General features: G+C 42.6%; 1 protein-coding gene across 4 annotated transcripts in view, besides 2 other annotated features; it reads right to left on the bottom strand.

Moving 5' to 3' along the window:
• The window catches only part of AK3 (adenylate kinase 3), a 32,488-nt gene extending 17,501 nt beyond the window's left edge, over positions 1-14,987 (bottom strand). For 2 of the 4 annotated variants that reach the window (NM_001199852.2, NM_016282.4), the window contains exon 1: positions 13,881-14,146. In NM_001199852.2, coding sequence (NP_001186781.1) covers positions 13,881-14,031 — 151 coding nt within the window. In that variant the 5' untranslated portion in view covers positions 14,032-14,146. Of the gene's footprint in view, positions 1-13,880; positions 14,147-14,664; positions 14,744-14,915 lie in introns of those variants that run through there. The other 2 variants (NM_001199853.2, NM_001199855.2) reach the window with 2 other exon arrangements.
• Positions 13,676-13,815: a silencer, noted in NCBI's record as "silent region_19746". NCBI's record gives its function as "represses an Ori minimal core promoter by ATAC-STARR-seq in GM12878 lymphoblastoid cells {active_cell/tissue: GM12878}" and the evidence as "EXISTENCE:reporter gene assay evidence [ECO:0000049][PMID:35858748]".
• Positions 14,046-14,535: a silencer, noted in NCBI's record as "silent region_19747". NCBI's record gives its function as "represses an Ori minimal core promoter by ATAC-STARR-seq in GM12878 lymphoblastoid cells {active_cell/tissue: GM12878}" and the evidence as "EXISTENCE:reporter gene assay evidence [ECO:0000049][PMID:35858748]".

Consider the following 22,471-nt stretch of genomic DNA (forward strand, 5'->3'; position numbering starts at 1 on the left):
ATAGTCAGTAAACCATGCTATAAACCGATGTGCTGTCATCCAGGCTTTGTCATTCCATTTACAGAGCACAGGCAGGGTAGATTTAGATAATTCTCAAGACCCTCGGATTTTTGGAATGGTAAATGAGCATTGGCTTCAACTTAAAGTCACCAGCTGCATTAGTCCCTAGCAAGAGAGTCAGCCTGTCCTTTGAAGCTTTGAAGTCAAGCATTGACTTCTCTTCTCCAGCAATGGAAGTCCTAGATGGCATCTTTTTCCAATAGAAGGCTGTTTCGTTTACATTGAAAATCTGTTAGTGTAGACACCTTCATCAATGATCTTAGCTAGATTTTCTGGATACCTTGCTGCAGCTTCTACATCAGCACTTGCACTTTCCTGTTATAGAGACGGCTTCTTTCCTTAAACCTCATGAACCAACCTCTGCTAGCTTCAAATTTTTATTCTGCAGCTTCAACACATCTCTCAGCCTTCACTGAAATGAAGAGAATTAGGGCCTTGCTCTGGACTGGGCTTTGGCTTAATGGATGATGTGGCTGGTCTGATCTTCTTTCTAGACCACTCAAGCTTTCTCCATATCAACAACAAGGTTGTTTTGCTTTCTTGTGCTCCAGTGTTTACTGGAGCAGCACTTTTAATTTCCTTCAAGGTCTTCCTTTGCACTTACAACTTGGCTAACTGGTGCAAGAAGCCTGGTTTCAGCCTGTCTTGGTTTTCAGCATGCCTTCCTCACTAAGCTTAATCATTTCTAGCTTTTGATTTAAAGTGAGAGATGTGCCACTCTCTTCCTTTAACTTGAACACTTAGAGGCCACTGTAGGGTTATTAGTTGGCCTAATTTCAATATTGTTGTGTCTCAGGGAATAGGGAAGCTCGAGGAGAGAGAGACAAGGGAATGGCTGGTTAGTGGAACAGTCAGAACACACATAACATTTATCAATTAAGTTTGCCATCTTATATGGGTATAGTTCATGGCACCCCAAAACAATTATAATAGTAACATCAAAGATCACTGATCACAGATCACTTTAACAGATATAATAATAATGAAAATATTTTAAATATTGCAAAAGTTACTAAAAATGTAAAATAGAAATGGGAAGTGCGTACTTGTTGGGAAAATGGGGCCAATAGCCTTGCTTGACACAGAGTTGCCACAAAACTTAGATTTGTAAAAAAAGATACAGTACCTGTGAAGCACAATAAAACAACATATGCCTTTAAAAACAAGTGTTAGGCCAGGCACAATGGCTCATGCCTGTAATCCCGGCACTTTGGGAGGCCGAGGCAGGCGCATCACTTGAGGTCAGGAGTTCGAGACCAGCCTGACCAAAATGGTGAAACCCTGTCTCTACTAGTAATACAAAAATTAGCTGGGTGTGGTGGTGCATGCCTGTAGTCCCAGCTACCTGGGAGGCTGAGGCAGGAGAAGTGCTTGAACCTGGGAGGCGGAGGTTTCAGTGACCTGAATAGCTGCCACTGCACTCCAGCCTGGGCAACAGAGTGAAACTGTGTCTCAAACAAAAAAATAAATAAAAACAAGTGTTGGTAAGAATGTGGAGAAACTGTAACCCTCATATATTGCTGGTAGCATTATAAAATGGTGTAGCCAATTTGTAAAACAGTGTGGTAGTTTTTTTAAAGGTTGAACACAGTTACCAAGCCCTGTGTGGTGATTCACACCTGCAATCCCAGCACTTTGGGAGGCCAAGGAAGGAGTTTCACTTGAGGCCAGGAGTTCAAGACCAGCCTGGGCAACACAGCAAGACCATGTCTCTACATATATATATATATATATATATATATATATATATACACACACACACACACATACATATATATACACATACTTATATATATACATACATATAAATATATACATACATATATACATACATATATATACACATACATATATATACCTACATATATATACACACACACACATATATATATATATATATTTTTTTTTTTTGAGACGGAATTTTGCTCTTGTTGCCCAGGCTGGAGTGCAATGGCGCAATCTTGGCTCACTGCAACCTCTGCCTCCCGGGTTCAAGCGATTCTCCTGCCTCCACCTCCTGAGTAGCTGGGATTACAGGCATGCGCCACCACAGCCAGCTAATTCTGTATTTTTAGTAGGGACAGGGTTTCACCATGTTGGTCAGGCTGGTGCTGAACTCCTGACTTTGGGTGATCTACCCACCTTTGCCTCCCAAAGTGCTGTGATTACAGGCATGAGCCACTGCACCCAGCTTAAATAAAATTTTTTAAATTTGCTGGGTGCTTGGTATGTGTTTCTAGTTCCAGCTATTCAGGAGGCTGAGGCAGGAGGCTGAGGCCCAGGAGCTCAACGCTGCAGTGAGCCATGATCGCGCCACTGTACTCCAGCCTGAGTGACAGAGCAAGACCCTGTCTTGCAGGGAGGGGGGAAAGACAGTTACCATAAGAGATAGCAATTCCTCCCCTCGCTATATGCCCATGAGAAATAAAAACATATGGCCAGCTGTGGTGGCTCATGCCTGTAATCCCAATGTTTTGGGAGCCAACACAGGAAGACTGCTCAAGCCTAAGAGTTCCTGACCAGCCTGGGCAACACAGCAAGATCCTACATCTAAATAAAAAAAATACGGGCATGGTGGTGCATGCCTGTAGTCCCAGCTACTTGGGAGGCTCAGGTGGGAGTATCACTTGGGTGCAGGAGTTCAAGGCTGCTGCTGTTGAGTTATGATTGCACCACTGCACTCCAGCCTTGGTGACAGAGAAGAGACTGTGTCTCTTAAAAAAAAAAAAAAAAGAAATATGTCTACACAAAAACTTGTAAATGAATGTTCATAGTGGCATTATTTAAAATAACCAAGAAGTAGAAACAAGTCAAATGTCCATCAACTGATGAACAGGTAAATAAAATGTGGTATATCAAGACAGTGGAATATTATTCAGCAAAAAAAGAAATGAAGTACTGATACATGTTACAGCATAGATGAACCTTCAAACATGCTCAGTGAAAGAAGCCAGACACAAAAGACTATATATCGTATGATTCCATTTGCATAAAATGTTTAGAATAGGCAAATCTAAAGAGATGGAAAGAAGATTAGTAGTTGCCAAAGGCTGGGAGGGTTGGGGAGAAATGGGTAATGACTGCTAATGAGAACAGCGTTTCTTTTTGGAGTGATAAAAATGTTCTAAAATTGATTGAGGTGATGGTTGCACAACTTTGGATATGCTAAAAACCACTGAATCATACACTTTACAAGGGCTAATTGTATGGTATGTGAATTAAATCTCAATACAGATTTTGTTTTTTAAAAAATAGAACAGATGAAAAATTCCCAGTAAGAAAAAAAATAAAAAAACCACTCATAGTCTGATCACTACTCAGAGATAATTATTATTAATGATAATATAAAAACTTTCATTGCCTGTGGTCCCAGCTATTCAGGAAACTGAGGTGGGAGGATTGCTTGAGCCCAGGAGGTCAAGGCTGCAGTGAGCCATGACCGCACTACTGCACTCCAGCCTTGGTGACAGAGCAAGACCTTGTCTCAGGAAAAACAAAAACAAAACGAAAACCAGGTATTTTGAGTTTTGTTTATATATAGATAGATAATCCTATGTGTAGTCTAATAATCTGTTTTTCATTTATCATGAACTTTTTTATGTTTGTATGATTTAATTAGAACAAGACAGACATTGAGATTAGATTGATATCTTAAACATTCTAAATAGATTTTTGTGTGATGAGAAAGAATTGTTATTTTTCTCTTTTGTTTTATGTGTTAAATATATTATCTTGTATATAGTTATTGTGAAAAAAATCTATTTTTAAATTGCAGTACTGAATGGAAGTTACATGAGTTTTTATCTTCTCAGTTATAATTGCTCTGTGAACTTCCACTTTGATAATTATGGACCCAGTTTCTGCTACCAGATCTACACCTCTTTTGACTGCCTTACTTGGCTGGAAGGATGGTCTTGTAACTGTTGATGTTGGTTTTACCTACTGATATTGTCATTCTTTCTCAAATGTAAAGTGTTTTTATTTTATTGTTCTTGTTGTTGTTTTATAATTTCTATTATAATTTCAGGGATATATGTGCAGGTTTGTTACATGGGTGAACTTGTGTCATGGGGGTTTGTTGTACAGATTATTTCATCACCCAGGTATTAAGCTAGTATGCATTAGTTATTTTTCCTGATCCTCTCCCTCCTCCCCACCTCCATCCTCTGAAAGGCCCTAGTGTGAATTGTTCCCTCTATGCGTCCATGTGTTCTCATCATTTAGCTCCCACTTATAAGTGAGAACATGAGGTATTTGGTTTTCTTTTCCTGCGTTAGTTTGCTAAGGATAAAGGCCTCCAGCTCCATCCATGTCCCTGCAAAGGACGTAATCTTGTTCATTTTTATGGCTGCACAGTATTTAATGGTGTCTATATCATGAACTTTCTATATCAATAAGCATTTATCCACAATATTTATTAAAACCTGGAGCCTATAATGCTTCAATTGAAGCTTACTTAAAAAAAAAAAAAGACTTAACTCCCTAATCTGAGTCTAAGCAGTTAACATATTACATTTCAAATATATTTACCCCCTCCCAAAATTATATGCAAAGACTCTTAACCAGCATGTTCTCTGGAGATATGGTAAACTTTTATCCATTTGATTACCTACATTTAACATTACATCTTAACAGACTCCTCATAAAAATTCTAGAGTGGACCCTTGAACAACATGGATTTGAACCGCATGGGTCTACCTCTGCCTCTGCCACTCTTAGGCAACAAAACTGACCCCTCCTCCTCCTCAGTCTACTTGACATGAAGACAATGGGGATGAAGATCTTTATGACGATCCACTTCCATTTAACAAACAGTAAATCTATTTTCTTTTCTTATGATTTTCTTTTTTAGAGACATGGTCTCACTCTGACATCCATGCTGGACTGCAGTGGTATGATCATAGCTCACTGCAGCCTCGACGTGCTGGGTCCAAGTGATCCTCCCACCTCAACCTCCCAAGTAGCTGGGAAAACAGGCACACACCACAATGCCTGGCTAATTTTTTTTACTTTTTTGTAGAGAGGGAGTCTTGCTTTGCCCAAGCTGGTCTTGAACTCCTGGGCTTAAGTGATCCTCCCATCTTGGCTTCCCAAAGTGCTGGAATTACAGGCATGAGCCACTGCACATGGCTGATAATTTCTTAATAACATTTTTTTCTCTCACTTGGTTTATTATAAGAATACAGTATACAATACATATATCATATGAAATATGTGTGAATCAATTGTGTATGCTATTGGTAAGGCTCCTGGTCAACAGTAGGCTATTTAAATTTTGGGGATGTCAAAAGTTACATGTGGATTTTTGACTACACTAGGAATCGGCAGCCCTAACCCCAAAGTTGTTCAAGGCCAACTGTATTTCCTTTTTTGATTCAAAAGTTAACAAATTTGGGCACTTCCACAAAACACAAAAGGCAGTTTAAAAGTAAATTATTTATGATAAGCTAATTTTCTACAAAGTTATACACAAAAGTAGGAAAAGAAGGTTAGAGAAAAATAGGGAAACTCAAAACCAACTTTTAAGGATAATAACTAGAAATCCTAAAACATGGAGACATTAGTATGAGAAATAAATGTTTATATTACATAAAAAGCCATTTTAAATTCTGTATCTCCCTTAAAAGTTTCATGTTACCCAAATCAACCACACCTCATATCTGAATGAGCTTATTCAAACTTACTGTTTGAGCAGTTATGAAGCACAAAAGAGGGACCTGACCAAACTGTAAATAACAGTTCTCTCTCTCTCTCTTTTTTTTTTTTTTTCCAAAGAGCCAATGCAGTGGCATGATTATAACTCACTGCAGTCTCAAACCCCTGGGCTCAAGCATCCTCCCAGCTTAGCTTCCCAAGTAGTTAGGACTATAGACAAGCAGAATCATGCCTGGCTAATTTTTTTTTTATTTTTTGTAGAGATAGGGGTCTCACTATGTTGCCCAGGCTGGTCTCAAACTCCTGGACTCTACTGATCCTCCTGCCTTAGCCTCCCAAAGTGCTGGGATTACAGGGGTGAGCCACCCGCCAACCAGCAGTTCTCTTTCACATGTGCCAAGAGAAAAGGCTACAGAGAATTAACCTAGCTCCTGCCAAAATGCTTTTAGCATCATTATAAATGACATAAAACTTAACTTTAAAAATGTGTCAGAACAAAACAAAACTAGGAGAATGTCAGGAAATTAGTTAAATGATAGCTTTACACCCAATCAAGGGCTTTAAAAAAAAACCTTTCTCAAATAATAAACACTTGAGTCAACAAAGTGGTTACCTCTGGGAAGCAGGAAGGAGATGTGCATGGAAGGGGAACGGGAGGGCCCCCAAAGTCCTTGTTTCTCTCTGGTGATGGGTAAATCATGTTCATTTTATTCTTCTTCTAACCATACACAGACCTTATAATACTCTGATGCATGGAATATTGCACAAGAATTATATTAAAAATGAAAACCTCCCTTGACCATTGTTCCTCCCGCTCACCATCACTCAATCTCTCTCCTCTTCAGTGAAGCATCCAGAAAGAGTTCCTGTTCCAGGTCTACACTCCCCTTCCCATTCACTCTGCTTCGGATAAATTCTGATTTTGACAATTACATAAATGCCCACCTGGGTCCAGCCTCATCTTATTTCTCCTCCTCCCTCATCCTCCCCATTGGCACTTCACCCTGAAACCACACCCCCAGCAAGGAGCTCTACACACATGGATCCTCCTAGCCTTTACTCAAGCCGCATGGTAAGCTCTTATTGATTTTTCAACACACACCCTAAACGGCCCTTCATGGTCAAGTGTCCCTCAACCTCCTAGGGAACTGGAAGCTCCCCCTCTGGACTTCCAAATGTCACAGACTTGTCTCTATTGAGACACATATCACTCCAATGACCGTGTTTACATGTTGTTATAGATGGAAGTATGTCTCCCCTAAATCTGTATGTTGGAACCTAACCCCCAGGGTGACTATATTTGGAAATAGGGCTTTAAAGGAGGTAACTAAGATTAAATGAGGTCATAATGGGAGGGCACTAATCCAATAAGCCTGGTGTCTTTATAAGAGGAGGAGGAGACATCAGGGTTGCCTGCTTACAGAGGAAAGGCCATGTGAGAACAAAGTGAGAAGGCAACTAGACAGGCCAGGAAGAAGGGCCTCACCAGAAACCAACTCTACCAGTGCCTTGGTCTTGTACTTCTAGCCTCCAGAACTATAAGAAAATAAGCCCCCTAGTGTGTGGTATTGTGTTACGGCAGCCTGAGCTGACTAACACACATGTCCATCTGCCCTCCTGCTCCCATGCCCACACTCTGTGAGCACCTAGTGAAATCAGTTGCTCTCTGTGTCTCCACTACCTAGCACATATCTGATGCTTAAAGGATCCACGGATAGTTGCCTGAATGAATGGTTAGATGGACAGATGGATGAAGAGATGGATAGATGGAGAGACAAGCTCCCTGGATTCTACTAGATTCTAGCCATGGAATTTTAAAAGGCCTAACTTATTTTGTTAAAAAATACCAATCTAGCAAAAGCCTACTTTCTTTGAGACAGTATTCATGACCAGGCTTACCTTTTTAAAATTGTTCTTTAAGTTATTTAAACAAACTATGGTACACCCATAAGATAACAGAAAAAGAGAAAACAACCCAAATGTTCACCAACTTATGAATGGATAAATAAAACATGGCCCATCCATAAAATGGAATTGTATTCAGCGATAAAAAAGAATGAAGTAGTAAACATGCTATAGTGTGGATGAGCCTTGAAAACACTAAGCTAAATGAAAGAAGCCAGTCAGAAAAGACCACATATTGTATGATTGCATTTGTATGAAATGTCCAGTACAGAAAACTCAAAAGAGACAGGAGGTGAGTTGGTGTTGCCAGAGGCTCAGGTGGAGGGGTGTGGGGTAGGAACAGAAGTGACGGCTAATAGGTATGAAGTTTCTTTTATGGGGTGATGGGTATGTTCTAAAATTGATTATTAAAGAAAAAATATTAATTTTTTAAAAGGTTGGGCACTGTGGCTCATGCCTGTAATCCCAACACCTTGAGAGGCTAAAGAGGGGAGGATTACTTGAGGCTAGGAGTTCATGACAAGCCTGGACCAACATGGTGAGACCCCATATATATATATACATATATAAATATATATATATATAAATATATATATAAATATATATACATATATAAATATATATATACATATATAAATATATATATACATATATAAATATATATATACATATATAAATATATATATACATATATAAATATATATACATATATAAATATATATACATATATAAATATATATACATATATAAATATATATATACATATATAAATATATACATAGTATATGTGTATATATATATATTTTTTTTTTTTTTTTGGAAACAGAGTCTCACTGTGTTGCCCAGGCTGGAGTGCAGTGGCATGATCTTGGCTCAATGCAACCTCCGCCTCCTGGGCTTAAGCCATTCTCCTGCCTCAGCTTCCCAACAGGTGCCCGCCACCATACCCAACTAATTTTATTTTGTATTGTTAGTAGAGACGGGGTCTCACCATGTTGACCAGGCTGATCCCAAACCCCTGACCTCAAATGATCCACCTTCCTCGGCCTCCCAAAGTGCTGAGATTACAGGTGTGAGCCACCATGCCTGGCCAAAAAAATATTTTAAAAAGAAAAAAATTTTAAAAGAAAAAATATATTAATTTAAAATTGATGAAGGCCAGGTGCAGTAGCTCACGCCTGTAATCCCAGAACTTTGAGAAGCCGAGGTGGGTGGATCACTTGAGGTAGGAAGTTCGAGACCAGCCCGGCTAACATGGTGAAACCCCATCTCTACTAAAAATACAAAAATTAGCTGGGCATGGTGGCTCACAGCTGTAATCCCAGCTACTCAGGAGGCTGAGGCAGGAGAAGCACTTGAACGTGGGAGGCGGAGGTTACAGTGAGCCGAGATCGTGCCACTGCACTCCAGCCTAGGCAACAGAGCGAGACTCCATCTCAAAAAAAAAAAAAAAAAAAAGTTGATTTTGGTGATGTCTGCACAACTCTGTGAATATATTAAAGTCCACTGAGTTTTATACTTTAAATGGATACATTATATGGTATGTTAATTATATCTCAATAAAGCTATTAGAAAAAAATGAAATGGGGCACTCCATATGCAAAGCAGTATTGTTAAAGGTATAAAACAGTATATACAGCATGCTATAATCTGTGTTTTAAAAAACACATACACAAAGAGAAGCATAGGTAAACATTTGATTGTATAAGCATAAAATATCTTGGAAGAATCTTTTCATGAAATATCCTTTTATATTTTTGGAATTGCCTATTACAAATTAAATGTTTTACCATTCCAAAAAAAAAAAAAAACAACTCCGCTTTGCCATCAGTATCATTCTAATTATGCAAGCCTATGTGCCACAGGTGTACATAATAATGTTTTGAAGAAATATAGAATCCAGGGACTGACAGAAGTCTTGAAGATTATCTACTACATTCATCTCCCCCATCATATAGATGAGAATAAATGAGATTCATAAGGGTTGGCCGTCTAGTCTAGGGTTATGTCTCCTTTTTTTTTTTGAGACAGGGTCTCACTCTGTCACTGTGAGTACTGTGGTGCTATCACAGCCCACTGCAGCCTCGAACTCCTGAGTTCAAACAATCCTCTCGCCTCAGCCTCTCAGAGAGCTGAGACTTCAGGCACGTGCCACCACATCCAGCTAATGTTTTTATCTTTTGTAGAGACGGGTTCTCACCATGTTACCCAGGCTAGTCTCAATCTCCTGGGCTCAAATGACCCTCCAGCCTTGGCCTCCCAAAGTGTTGAGATTACAGGCATAAGCCACCACACCTAGCCAGGGTTATGTCTCTGAGACGCACTATGCTACAGTGCAGCTTTCTCAGACTAAGCAATCACACTTCAACCTCACGATTTCTACCATAGTTGAACTATTATTCACTATATAGTTTTTTTTACTATATAGTTCTTTACTATATAGTTTTTCTTTACTATATAGTTCTTTACTATATAGTTTTCTTTAAAGTGACTTAGCTTTAAAAATTAATAGCTATAATTTTCATGAAATACAGCTTTCATGTGCTAGATTTATGTCTGTTTCAATTCTGCTTTAAAATAAATAAAAAGTTTTTGTCTATCTAAAATGTCTATCTCATGAATCTCATCGTCTAATTCATGTCTATCTCATGAATCTCAATGTGGGAAATACTGCATAGAGAAAAGAGTATTTAACATGGAGAAATCTATGTTTTCACCCTAATCCCCCAATAAATACTGTTTACTATCAAGCAAGTTCTCCTGAACTCAGTCTCCTCATCTCTAAAAGAGAGGTCTGACTCTGAGAGGCCAAGGCGGTTGGATCACCTGAGGTCAGGAGTTCGAGACCAGCCTGCCAATACGGCAAAACCATCTCTACTGAAAATAAATTAGCCAGCCACGGTGGTGCAAGCCTGTAGTCCCAGCTACCTGAGTTCGGAAGCTGAAGCAGGAGAATCGCTTGAACCCAGGAGTCGGAGGTCGCAGTAAGCCGAGATCGTGCCACTGCACTCCAGCCTGGGCGACAGAGTGGGGACTCTGTCTCAAAAAAATAAAATACAATAAAAGAGAGGACTGGACTAAATGTCTTAAGGTCAGATTCAAGTTCCCTGACTCCAAGTTTCAGTGATGACCTACAGTTATTCCAGCTTTGCTACTGTCAATGAGTTGCCTAAAGTTTCCAGTGTCCTTATCATATCTCCTGTGATGATTTTAAACCTTAGCTATAAAATACAGCCATGGGTTATAAAATATAGCACCCTCATGAAACAATGACTGGAAACTAAATTGGCACAATCCTTCTGTTGTATTATTTGATAGTACCATATTTGTAGAAATTCCATACTAGGAATTTATTTGAAGGAAATAAGCAAAGATTTGCCAAATGTTTATGTGCAGGGATAGTCATAACAGTATTTATTACAACAAACAATAGTTAACAACATACGCGTCCAATAAAAATGTTTAATAACTATACAACTTTGATAAAATTAAACATCTTTTTTTTTGAGACAGAGTTCCGCTCTTTTCACCTAGGCTGGAATGCAATGGCGCCATCTCGGCTCGCTGCAACCTCCGCCTCCCAGTTTCAAGTGATTCTCCTGCCTCAGCCTCCCAAGTAGCTAGGATTACAAGCGCCCACCACCATGCCTGGCTAATTTTTGTATTTTTAGTAGAGACAGGGTTTTGCCATGTTGGCCAGGCTGGTCTTGAACTCCTGACCTCTGGTGATTCACCCACCTCAGCCTCCCAAAGTGCTAGGATTACAGGCGTGAGACACCCCGCCCAGCTTAAACATCATTTTTAAGACTGCTTAATGATGTGTGAACATGCTCACTATAAATGAGAATAAAAAAGTAACCTATCATTTAGAATATGACAATTTTAGAATACAACCATTTTGCAAATACAAATGCAACAGAAATAAAAAAGAAAAAGAAAAAAAAAGAATAAAAGAAAATGCACCCAAGAGTTAATTATAATCATCTCTGTGTGGCAAGGCAGAATTATGAGGGATCTTAATTTACCTTTTTTACATTTGCATGAAATAGATATAGTTTCCTTCTTTTATAATAAATATGCTTTACTTTTTTTTTTTTTTTTTTTTTTTTGAGACAGGGTATCACTCTGTCTGTCACCCAGCTTGGAGTGTAGTAGCACAATCTCGGCTCATGACAACCTCTGCATCCCGGGCTCAAGTGATACTCCCACCTCAGCCTCCAGAGAAGCTGGGACCACAGGCGCGAGCCACCATGCCCAGCTAATTTTTTGTATTTTTGGTAGAGACGGGGGTTTCGTCATGTTGCCTAGGCTGGTCTTGAATTCCTGACCTCAAGTGACCTGCCCGACTCAGCCCCCAAAGTGCTGGGATTACAAGCATGAGCCATTGCGCCAGGCCTACTCTCCTAGACTTTGGTTAACCTGACCCCAACCAGTAGCAGTATCTGGGACTGTTTAATGTTACCTAACTACTTCAGTATGTCGCATTAACAACATTTAGCAAGCAAGTCAAACAATCTCTGTTCTTTCTTTCTTTTTTTTCGAGATGGGGTCTTGCTCAGGCTGGAGTGCAGCGTTGCAATCTCGACTCACAGCAACCTCCGCCTCCCAGGTTCAAGCGATTCTCTCTCCTCAGCCTCCCGAGTAGCTAGGATCACAGGTGCCTGCCACTGCGCCTCGCTAATTGTTTTTGAATTTTTTATAGAGACGCAGTTTCACCAAGTAGCCCAGGCTGGTCTAGAACTGCTAAGGTCAAGTGATCCGCCCGCCTTGACCTCACAAAGTGCTGGGATTACAAGTGTGAACTGGTTAAATAAATCATACTAGATTCAGAAAATACATACTACAAAAACAGAATGAAATGGATTTGTCCGTTTTCATGTGAAATATATCCCAGACACAAAGTGAAACCACACTAGTGCAGAGTATATACACATAGTATGCTCACATATTACATACAAGAAAAGATACACGTTGGCCGGGCGCGGTGGCTCACGCCTGTAATCCGAGCACTTTGGAAGGCCGAGCCGGGTGGATCACGAGGTCAGGAGATGGGGACCAGCCTGGCTAACACAGTGAAACCCCATCGCTACTAAAAATACAAAAAATTAGCCCGGCGTGGTGGCATGCGCCTGTAGTCCCAGCTACTAGGGAGGCTGAGACAGGAGAATTGCTTGAACCCAGGAGGCAGACAGAGCAAGACTCCGTCTCAAAAAACAAACAAACCAAAAAGAAAAAAAGAAAAAAGGTACACGTATCTGCGCTTAAAAAGTAAACCTTTCTAGAAGGAAAACTCTGTTCCCCTCCGAAGAATGGGACTGAGGTAGGGAACGAAAGAGGGCGTTGTTTTTTATGCTATGCACGTCTATCCTGTTTGCTATCCTTACAAAAAAAAAAAAAAAAAGAAGGAAAACAAAAGAAAAAGGCCTTGTGGAAGCATTATTTCTATGTAAATGGGTTTCAAAATGAGTTTCAAAACGGGTTCTATTTTGAAAAGTAAGGTCAACATTTTTTGAGAAAAAAACTCCTGCGATTGGCTTTTCAAAAACAACCCTCTTAAGAGAGAATTTACATACCACAAATTCACCCATTGTATAGTGTAGATTGTTAACTGCCTTTCGTGCCGAGCTGTAAGAATTTATTTGGCATGAGAAACAAAATATTTTATAGAACCATGCACAAGAATAGCCTTCGTGTCTACGAAATCTAAGGATATCAAAATGAGATAATTTTATGACTGCAACAAGGGTAAATAATACTTGGCCTTGGGAATATGGGGGAAAGGTCAGAACTACAAGATCTCATAGAGCTTAACCACACCAAAAAAGAAAGAGAAAAGAAAGAAACAAAGAAAACAAAACAGAACGAGCAGACTCTAGCAGGGCTAATGACAGTCTTCCAAAGGCACCAGCACGTTGAACAAGCTGCGGCTCAGCTCGATGGACCCCCAAGAGTGGCTGCCACTGGGAGGACTTGGGCCTCTGAAACAAAGCCCGGTGGTTTCCTTTCATCTCTGAACTTCGAGCTCGACCTAACTTTCCAGTCCCTTCCCCCACCGCCACCCCATAACCCGCCCGAAGCGGCCCACGGAGGCCGGAGGTTTTGGGGCGCAGTCGCTCAGCAGCCCGAGGTCTCTGTCCCGGGCGGCGGGAGGGAAATGCCGCGCCCGCAGCCAGGGACCCGCGTGCCCAGCTTCGGCCCCTCGCCCGCGAAGTCCGACCCGGGTGACAGCGCACGGCCGGCCCTGGGCCCAGAGCTCCCACCTGTGCCCCGCAGCATGTTGTCCCGGAGCAGGTCCCCGCTGGAGAGGTGCTTCAGCTCGAAGTGTGTAGTGATGCGCGACGACACGGTGCCCTTGCCCGAGCCCGGGGCCCCCATGATCACCGCTCGCAGCAGCCGCGCGGACGCCCCCATGGCCGCAGACTGAGGCCCGCACCGCGCGGGTACCAGGGCTTTGGCCTGGCCTGCGCGCTCACCCGCTCGGCAGCCTGCGCCGGCCGGCTAGCAGCGCCACTAGCAGGCGGCTACTGCGGTTCCCCGGCGTTCCCGGAAGTGAGCCGACAGCCCCTGGGGCCGCCCAGACAGCGCGGGACCCCGCTGTTGCGTCCGCCTCTCGGCTACCCCGGCGCACCCCCCGCCCCCGACCGAGCGCCTGTTCCCGCCCAGCCGCGCAAGCCGCGCAAGCCGCGCCCCCTCTGCGCTCGCTCGGCCGCCCAGCTCCCACCTGCGCCTCTCCGCGGCCCCTCTCCACCGGCCGCTGGGCCCGGATCCCTTCGGCGCCCCTCTGCACCCACCCCCACGCGCCCTCCACTCGGCTCAGATCTACCTCCGCGCCTCTCCGCGACCCCGGAACCCCGCGCCCTGTCCGGCCCATTCCCAGCCGGATAGACCGCGCTCCCCTCTGTCCGACCTTGGCAACTCCTGCGCGCCCCCTCCCCACCTCTAGTCGCCCCTCGGAGCCGCTTGGTTTCGGGATCCACCCGCATCCACCCCTCCAACAACCCTTTCGTAGCCCTCGCCCCTAGTCCATAGCAGGCGCTGCCCTACCCAGTCCTTGCCGGACACACCGCGACCCCTTTCGTGCTCCCTTGACAACCCTGGCCCCACCTCCACCTGGCGCCCACTCGAATCCGCCCCTCCCTTCTACCCCCCTGGACCGCCAGACCCCCCGCTTCTGCACCCACTCCCGCCTTCGCCCTTCCCTCCTTCCTCCTCCTCCTCTGCTGCCGAGCGCCCTCTCTTCCCACTCCCTCTCTGTGTAGAATCACAGGGAGTGACCTTGAGCCGAGAGGGCCTACCTCATTTTACAGGAGAGGAAATCCAGCTTCCATTGAGTGAGACTCTTTTATAAATAACGTAAAAGAGTGTGTGAAACTGTGGAGGCAGGCTGTTGTAGATAGGCGGTCGGAAAAGCTTTGAAGAGATGGCATGTGTGCTGAGTGCTTAATTAGAATATGGAAGAGAGAGACATGGGCCCTTCCTATGTCCAGTTTTAGGAAAAGGCCCTAAAACTGGAGGTTTGGCATGTTTCAAGAATGGAAACAGAGGACAAAAACGTTCGAGTGAGTATCATTTTGCCTGTAAAATGGGCATAGAGGAGTAGAATGGAGGAGTTAAAATAATGTAGTACTTAGTGCAATGCCAGCTACGGGGTCAATGTTCAATAATGGTTGTCCATTTATCATCATTGCTTTGTCCCGGACACTATGCTAAGGCAGAAAGAAGGCTCTCTGAAAATAAAACACAGTTACCATTCTCCTCAGAGGTCCAGAACTGATTTCAAAGAAGATAGAAATGACTTCAGGGTGAGACAGTCAGTGAATCGTAGCTGAGTGAATGGATGGGGGATTTCAATAGGTAGACAGCCTGGTACTTAGAAAAGGCATTAGCCTTTATACTTTCTGGTGTGGAAAAGAAAGAAAGAAAATACATACCTTGTACATTTTTTTTTCTTTGAGACAGAGTTTTGCTCTTGTTGCCCAGGCTGGAGTGCAATCGGCTCACGGCAACCTCTGCCTCCCGGGTTCAAGTGATTCTCCTGCCTCAGCCTCCCGAGTAGCTGGGATTACAGGCACACGCTACCGCACCCGGCTAATTTTATATTTTTAGCAGAGACAGGGTTCCTTCATGTTGCTTAGACTGGTCTGAAACTCCCGACGTCAGGTGATCCACCCGCCTTGGCCTTCCAAAGTGCTGGGATTACAGATGTGAGCCACCGCGCCCGGCCTCGTTTTGTTTCTTTGAGACGGGGTCTTGTTTTGTTGCCCAGGCTGGAGTGCTGTGATGCGATCTCAGCTCACTGCAACCTCTACTTCCCAGGTTCAGGTGATTCTTATACCTCAGCTTCCCGAGTAGCTGGAATTACAGGCACCCGCCACCACGCCCAGCTGATTTTTATATTTTTCGTAGAGATGGGATTTCACCATGTTGGCCAGGCTGATCTCAAACTCCTGACCTCAAATGATCTGCCCGCCTTGACCTCTCCAAGTGCTGGGATTACAGGCTTGAGCCACCCCACTGTGCCCAGCAGGGCTCATACATACTCATTACTAAGCAAGAAAGAATGAAAAGAATGAAAATAAATGAATTAAACATTGAATTCATGTAATTGGGAAAAGGACATCAAAATAACCCATGGAAAGCAGAGGAAGGGATGAAGTAAACAACATAAATGAAAGGATGAGAAAACTTGAACAGAACTAACTAAAGAATGAGCAAGTCTGGACAAGTACAACTTATGCAATACTAGAAAATCTGAAGGTGTGGAGAAAGTACTTCTAATCTCCAAAGCTGGGAACATAGGAGGTTTCAGCTCCAAAAGAAACCAGAAAGAAAATCCTGGGGAAATTTGGTTTAGAAAAAAAAAATGTTCAAACAAACAAAAATAGCTGAGGAATCATCCTGTCATTGCGGGGATGAAAAGCTGAGTGTCGTGGTCATATTAACAGGCCCGCAAAACACCAATCAACTTTGGCTTTGCAAAAGGTTGTTGATTACAAATGAGTAACTGCCAGTCTGTGAAATCTCCTGGCAACTGTGCCTGGCATAGTCTTTTCGCCATTCACAGGCCTTTGTATGGATCTGTTCCTCACTGCCTACCTTGTTCCAACTGAAAAACACTGAGGTCAAATTCATTCAAATTCTAATTTAATGACCAAGTGTTTATACAGATTAGTTTGAAGCAAATAAAGCCCAGATGAGTGCTTTGCACATAGTAGGCACTCAGTAGGGTTTTGTTGATTAAATACTAAGAATTACTGTTTTGTCACTTTTGTTTGTTTGTTTTTGAGACGGAGTCTCTCTGTCACCCAGGCTGGTGCAGTGGCGAGATATTGGCTCACTGCAACCTCTGCCTCCTGGATTCAAGAGATTCTCTTGCTTCAGCCTCCCAAGTAACTGGGACTACAGGCCTGCACCACCATGCCCCGCTAATTTTTGTATTTTTAGTAGCGGTTTTGCCATTTTGGCCAGGCTGGTCTTGAACTCCTGACCTCAAATGATCCTCCTGCTTTGGCCTGCCAAAGTTCTGGGATTACAGGCATGAGCCACCATGCCCGGCCTTTGTCACATTTGAAGACTGAAATGTTTAAGTCTTCAATGTACAACTCTACAATGTACAACTGAGGGGGAAATGATAGGCATGTGTCATGGGTTGAATTGTATTCCCCCAGGAGATATATTGAAGTCCTAATCCCCAGTACCTCAGAAGATGACCTTACTTACACATAGGGTCTTTGCAGACATAAGTAGTTAAGATCAGGTCATAGTGGAAGATGGTCAGCTCTTAATCCAATATGACCTGAAAACATAGCAGGAGAATGCCATGTGACGATGGAAGCAGATATTGGGCTTATACAGCTACAAGCCGAGGAACACCAAAGATTGCTAGGGACACTAGAAGCCAAGAGAAAGACACAAAGCTGATTCTCCCCTAGGATCCTTGGGAGAGAATAACCCTGCCCTTACCTTGGCTATGAATTGTAGTCACTAGAACTGTGAGAGAATAACTTTCTATTGTTTCAAGCCCCCTAGTTTGTGGTAATTTGTTACTGTAGCTCTAGGGAACTAATACAGCTTGTTTCCAAGAAACATGTATATGTGTTTGTATGTTGCTTCACACTATGTGTTACCTAGGTGAGAACAAAAGAATAGGAGGGTTCATGTTTGAGAAATAATTACTAGGATTGTAGTGATTGTAGTAAGACAAAGAGAAGGAAGGTACATCAGTTATCCACTACTATAAAAATCCACTCCAGGCCAGGTGTGGTGGCTCACACCTGTAATCCCAGCACTTTGGGAGGCCAAGACGGGAGGATCACTAGAGTCCAGGAGTTTGAGACCAGCCTAGGCAACATAATGACACCCCCTCCTCTACAAAAAAAAAAAAAAAAAAGAAGAAGAAGAAGAACATTAGCCAGTGTGGTGGTGTGCACCTGTGGTCCCAACTATTTGGGAAGCTGAGGTGGGAGGATTGCTTGAGCCTGGAAGGTTGAGGCTGTAGTGAGCTGTGATCACACCACTGTACTCCAGCCTGGGCAACAGAGCAAGACCCTGTCTCAATAAATAAATGAATATCCTGGCCGGATGTGTTGGCTCACACCTGTAATCCCAGCACTTTGGGAAGCCAAGATGAGCGGATCACTTAAGGTCAGGAATTCGAGACCAGCCTGGCCAACATGGTGAAACCCCCATCTCTACTAAAAATACAAAAAATAGCTGGGTGGGATGGCATGTGCCTGTAGTCCCAGCTACTTGGGAAGCTGAGGCATAAGAATCACTTGAACACTTGAACCCGGGAGGCAGAGGTTGCAGTGAGCCAAGATCACGCCATTGCACTGCAGCCTGGGTGACAGAGTGAGACTCTGTCTCAATAAACAAACAAACAAACAAACAAAAATTAGCTAGGCGTGGTGGTGCACACCTGTAATCCCAACTACTCAAGAAGCCGTGGCAGGAAAATCACTTGAACCCGGGAAATGGAGGTTGCAGTGAGCCGAGATCGCACCATTGCACTCCAGCCTGGGTGATAGAGTGAGACTCTGTCTCGAAAATAAATAAATAAATAAAATATCTGGGGGAAGAATGTTCTAGAGAGAAAAAGAACAAACGCAAAGCCCCTGAGGGAGGAGCGTGCTTGAGTTTCCAAAGAAGCCATTCTGCCTGGAACAGAGAGAGCAAGAAATGAAAGTTATTCAACAAGAAAGCTCAGGGAGGTAGTGAGGGTCCAGACCTTACAGGGCCTAACAAACCACTGTGGCAAATGGTATTGTCTGAAGATGGCCACGACGCCCACTCCCAGTCCATGAGCTTATCTTCGACACTTCTCCCATCAAGAGGTGAGGTCCCTGTCCCCTCCACCTTTAACTGAATAGGCTTCTGTGACTGTTTTGACCAATTGAGCATGGTGGAAGTGATATTATGTGACTTCCAAGGCTAAGTCATAAAAGACAAAGCAGCTTCTGATTTGTTCACCAGGACACTCATTTTGGAAGCCTATAGCTGCCACATGGGGAATCTGACTGCCCTGAGGCCAACAGGCTGTAAGGAAGTCCAGATTAGCCCACATGGAGAAACCACTTAGGAACGTCCTGAGATGACATGGAGAGAGTAGTGCTTTATTCCCTGGGTGTCCCAACTCTAGCCATCTAACTGCACTTGCGTGAGACACCTCAAGCCAAAACTATCCAGCTGAGCCCTTCCTAAGTTCCTGAACCACAGAAGCCATGGGAGAAAATAAAGTGATCATGGTGGTTTTAAGTAATAATGCAAGTGAGAGAGGATGATGACTTAAGCTTGCATGGTATAGGTGATGAGAGCTAGTTGGATTCTGAATACAAATATTCATTTCCTAGAAATAATCTCAAACTTATAGAAAAGTTGCAAATACAGTACAAAGATTCTTTTTTTCTGAGCCATTTGAGATGCCCCATCATTCTTGAATACTTTCATGTATGTTTCCTACAATGACATTTTTGCATAACCACACTATAACTTTTAAAATAAGAAAAAAATCACATGACTAACATTTAATCAGACCTTATTCAGTTTTCCCCAAATGTTCCACTAATGTTCTTTATAACAGAAGTTATGAAATCATACAGTAAATTTTAGTTGTGTGATTTTCAAGATCACACATTGCATTCAGTTTCCATGTCTTTATTCTCTTTCAGTTCTCTTTCAATCTGGAGTAATTCCGTAGTCTTTCCTTGACTTTTATGACTTTGACACTCTTTGTTCATTGTTTTGTTTTCTTTTTTAACTTCCCATACTATGCCAGTGTAATGACCTTGACACTCTTGAAGATTATGGGAAGGTTATGTTGTAGAACACCCTCTCTTTGAGTTTATCTGATGTTCTCTCATGATTCTATTCAGCTTATTCATCTTTGGTAGATAATATTACAGAAGTAGTGCTGTGATTTTGTTATGTTCTATCAGATGGCATATGATTTTAATGTGTTGCATTATTGATGATGCTAACTTTGATCACCCAGTTAAGGTGGTGTCTGCAGGATCTCTCCACTATGAAATTACTCTTTTTCCATTTGTAATTAACAAGTATTCTAGGCCCGGCACGGTGGCTCACGCCTATAATCCCAGCACTTTGGGAGGCTGAGGAGGGAGGATTGCTTGAGCTCAGGAGTTTAAGACCAGCTGGGCAACAATTCAAAAAAAATTAGCTGGGCATGGTGGCCCAGCCTATATTCTTAGCCTCTCAGGGAGTGGGTTGAGTGGGGTGCTGAGGTGGGAAGATCACTTGAGCCCAGGAGGTGGAGGCTGCAGGGAGCTATGATCGTACCACTGCACTAGAGCCTGGGCAACGGTGTGAGACCCTGTCTTTAAAAAAAAAAAAAGTATTCTGTAAGAGGGTAGTTGAAGTTCAGACTTTGTAAATACCTTATCTTTCATCAAACTTTTAATTTACTCACTATCTTACATTTATTTATATGGTTTCTTATTTTATTAAATTGGTTGTAAGCCATTGTCATTATTATTTATTTTGATGTTCAAATCATTTAAGATTTGGCTAATGGAATCTCCTTCGTGTTAGCTAGCATCTGTGTCCTTTTGGCATGTCCCCATTACTCTTTGTGCACTTCTTTACTTTCTGGCATAAGAAGGTCCAGGTTCATCTTGGACTTCCTAGACCCAGCAACACATTGAAATGGCTGAGATCAACCATTTCTCCAAGAATCCCTGGTTTCCTTTAGTGGAATATGGAATTTAGAAACTGAGGCCCGTGCATTCAGTGTGCTCATTACTATTAATGTGTTGCTGCTTTAAGGCCCTCTCAGAGGACAGGGCTAAGGAATATGTAAATATGTTTGTATTCATTTACACACACGTTTACATCTACATTTATTTCTATGTTTATCTATGTATTACTGAAGCCATGAGTTTACATTGATACCTTCATTTCTGATCTAATATTCTAGGATTTATTTTCATTTTTTCCCTTCCATCCTTCACTACAATCCTAGTCTTGTCTTCTCCTCATATATTGAAGCCACCAATTTTTATTTTATTTTATTTTATTTTTTAGAGACAGAGTCTTACTCTGTCACCCAGGCTGGAGAGCAGTGGCATGATCATACCTCACTGCAGCCTCAACCTCCTGGGCTCAATTGATCCTACTGCTTCAGCCTCCCAAGTAGCTGGAACTACAGGCACATGCCATCACTCCCCACTAATTTTTATTTATTTATTTATTTTTAATTTTTTTTAGTAGAGACAAGATCTTGCTATGTTGGCCAGGTTGGTCTCAAATACCTGGGCTCCAGGGATCCTCCCACCTCAGCCTCTAAAATATTGGGATTACAGGTGTGAACCACTACATTCAGTCTTCTTTTATTCTTATCTACCTAACACAGAGTAACACATTGCTTCTGGATTTTGAGTTAGTGTCTCTAACAGACTCTCATGTCCTTCATGTATCCACATTTATGATCAGTCACTCTGTGTATACCCAACCTTCTATCACCACTGCCTACCCTTTCTCCATGCAGATGTCCTCCTCACCCCACTTGGGTTACAGAATTCCATGCCGACAATTCATCAGCCCGATATATGGACGCTGTTATCTGGCTGGGGCTCTGACACTCTATGCTGGACCAGACCACGCCCTCCAAAGACATCCTTCTCACCACTTCTGGGCTCTGACATCACAGGCCAGGCTGCTTATGACTATGAGCATTCTACTCACTCTGTGCAGACTCCAAAACCCTGAGCCACACTGTACTGCCGTCTACATGGAGAAATCTTCCTCACTCCACTCAGACTCTGGCACTTGTGCTGGGCAGCTCTCCTCTGCAGATGCCCTCTTCTTGCATATAGTTTAAATGTAGACCCAACGTGAGTCCCTGGTGGATTCGATGGATTAAAGTGAGGGAAAAAAAGAGATTTCTCCTGAGCTACTGGGAGAATAGAATTGTCATTAGCTGAGATTGGGAAGACTATAAGAGAAACAGGTTGGGTGAAAATATTAGAGTTGTTTTGGAATAAGTTAACTTCGAGATACCTGTTGGACATCCAGGCAGAGAAAATAAGGAAGGAGGCAGATGTATAAATTTTGACCACAGGGTAGAGGTCCAGGCTGGAGACATAAATTTGAGAGTTGTCAATATGTTTAAATTTTTGAGATGGTACAAGCTCACTAGGGAGCAACTTTAGATAGAGAGGAGAGGTCTGAAATCTGAGTTCTGAGGTTGTCTAACATTTTGAGGTTGGAAGATATGGAAGAAACATTGAAAAAACCTGAAAGAGAGGGAGAGGCCAATTAAGAAGAAAATTGGGTGAGTATGGTGTCGTGGAAGTCAATTGAAGAATGTGTTTCAAGAAGAATATGATGAAATGAG

The sequence above is a fragment of the Homo sapiens genome, chromosome 9, assembly GCF_000001405.40.
Source record: "Homo sapiens chromosome 9, GRCh38.p14 Primary Assembly".
Taxonomy (NCBI): domain Eukaryota; kingdom Metazoa; phylum Chordata; class Mammalia; order Primates; family Hominidae; genus Homo; species Homo sapiens.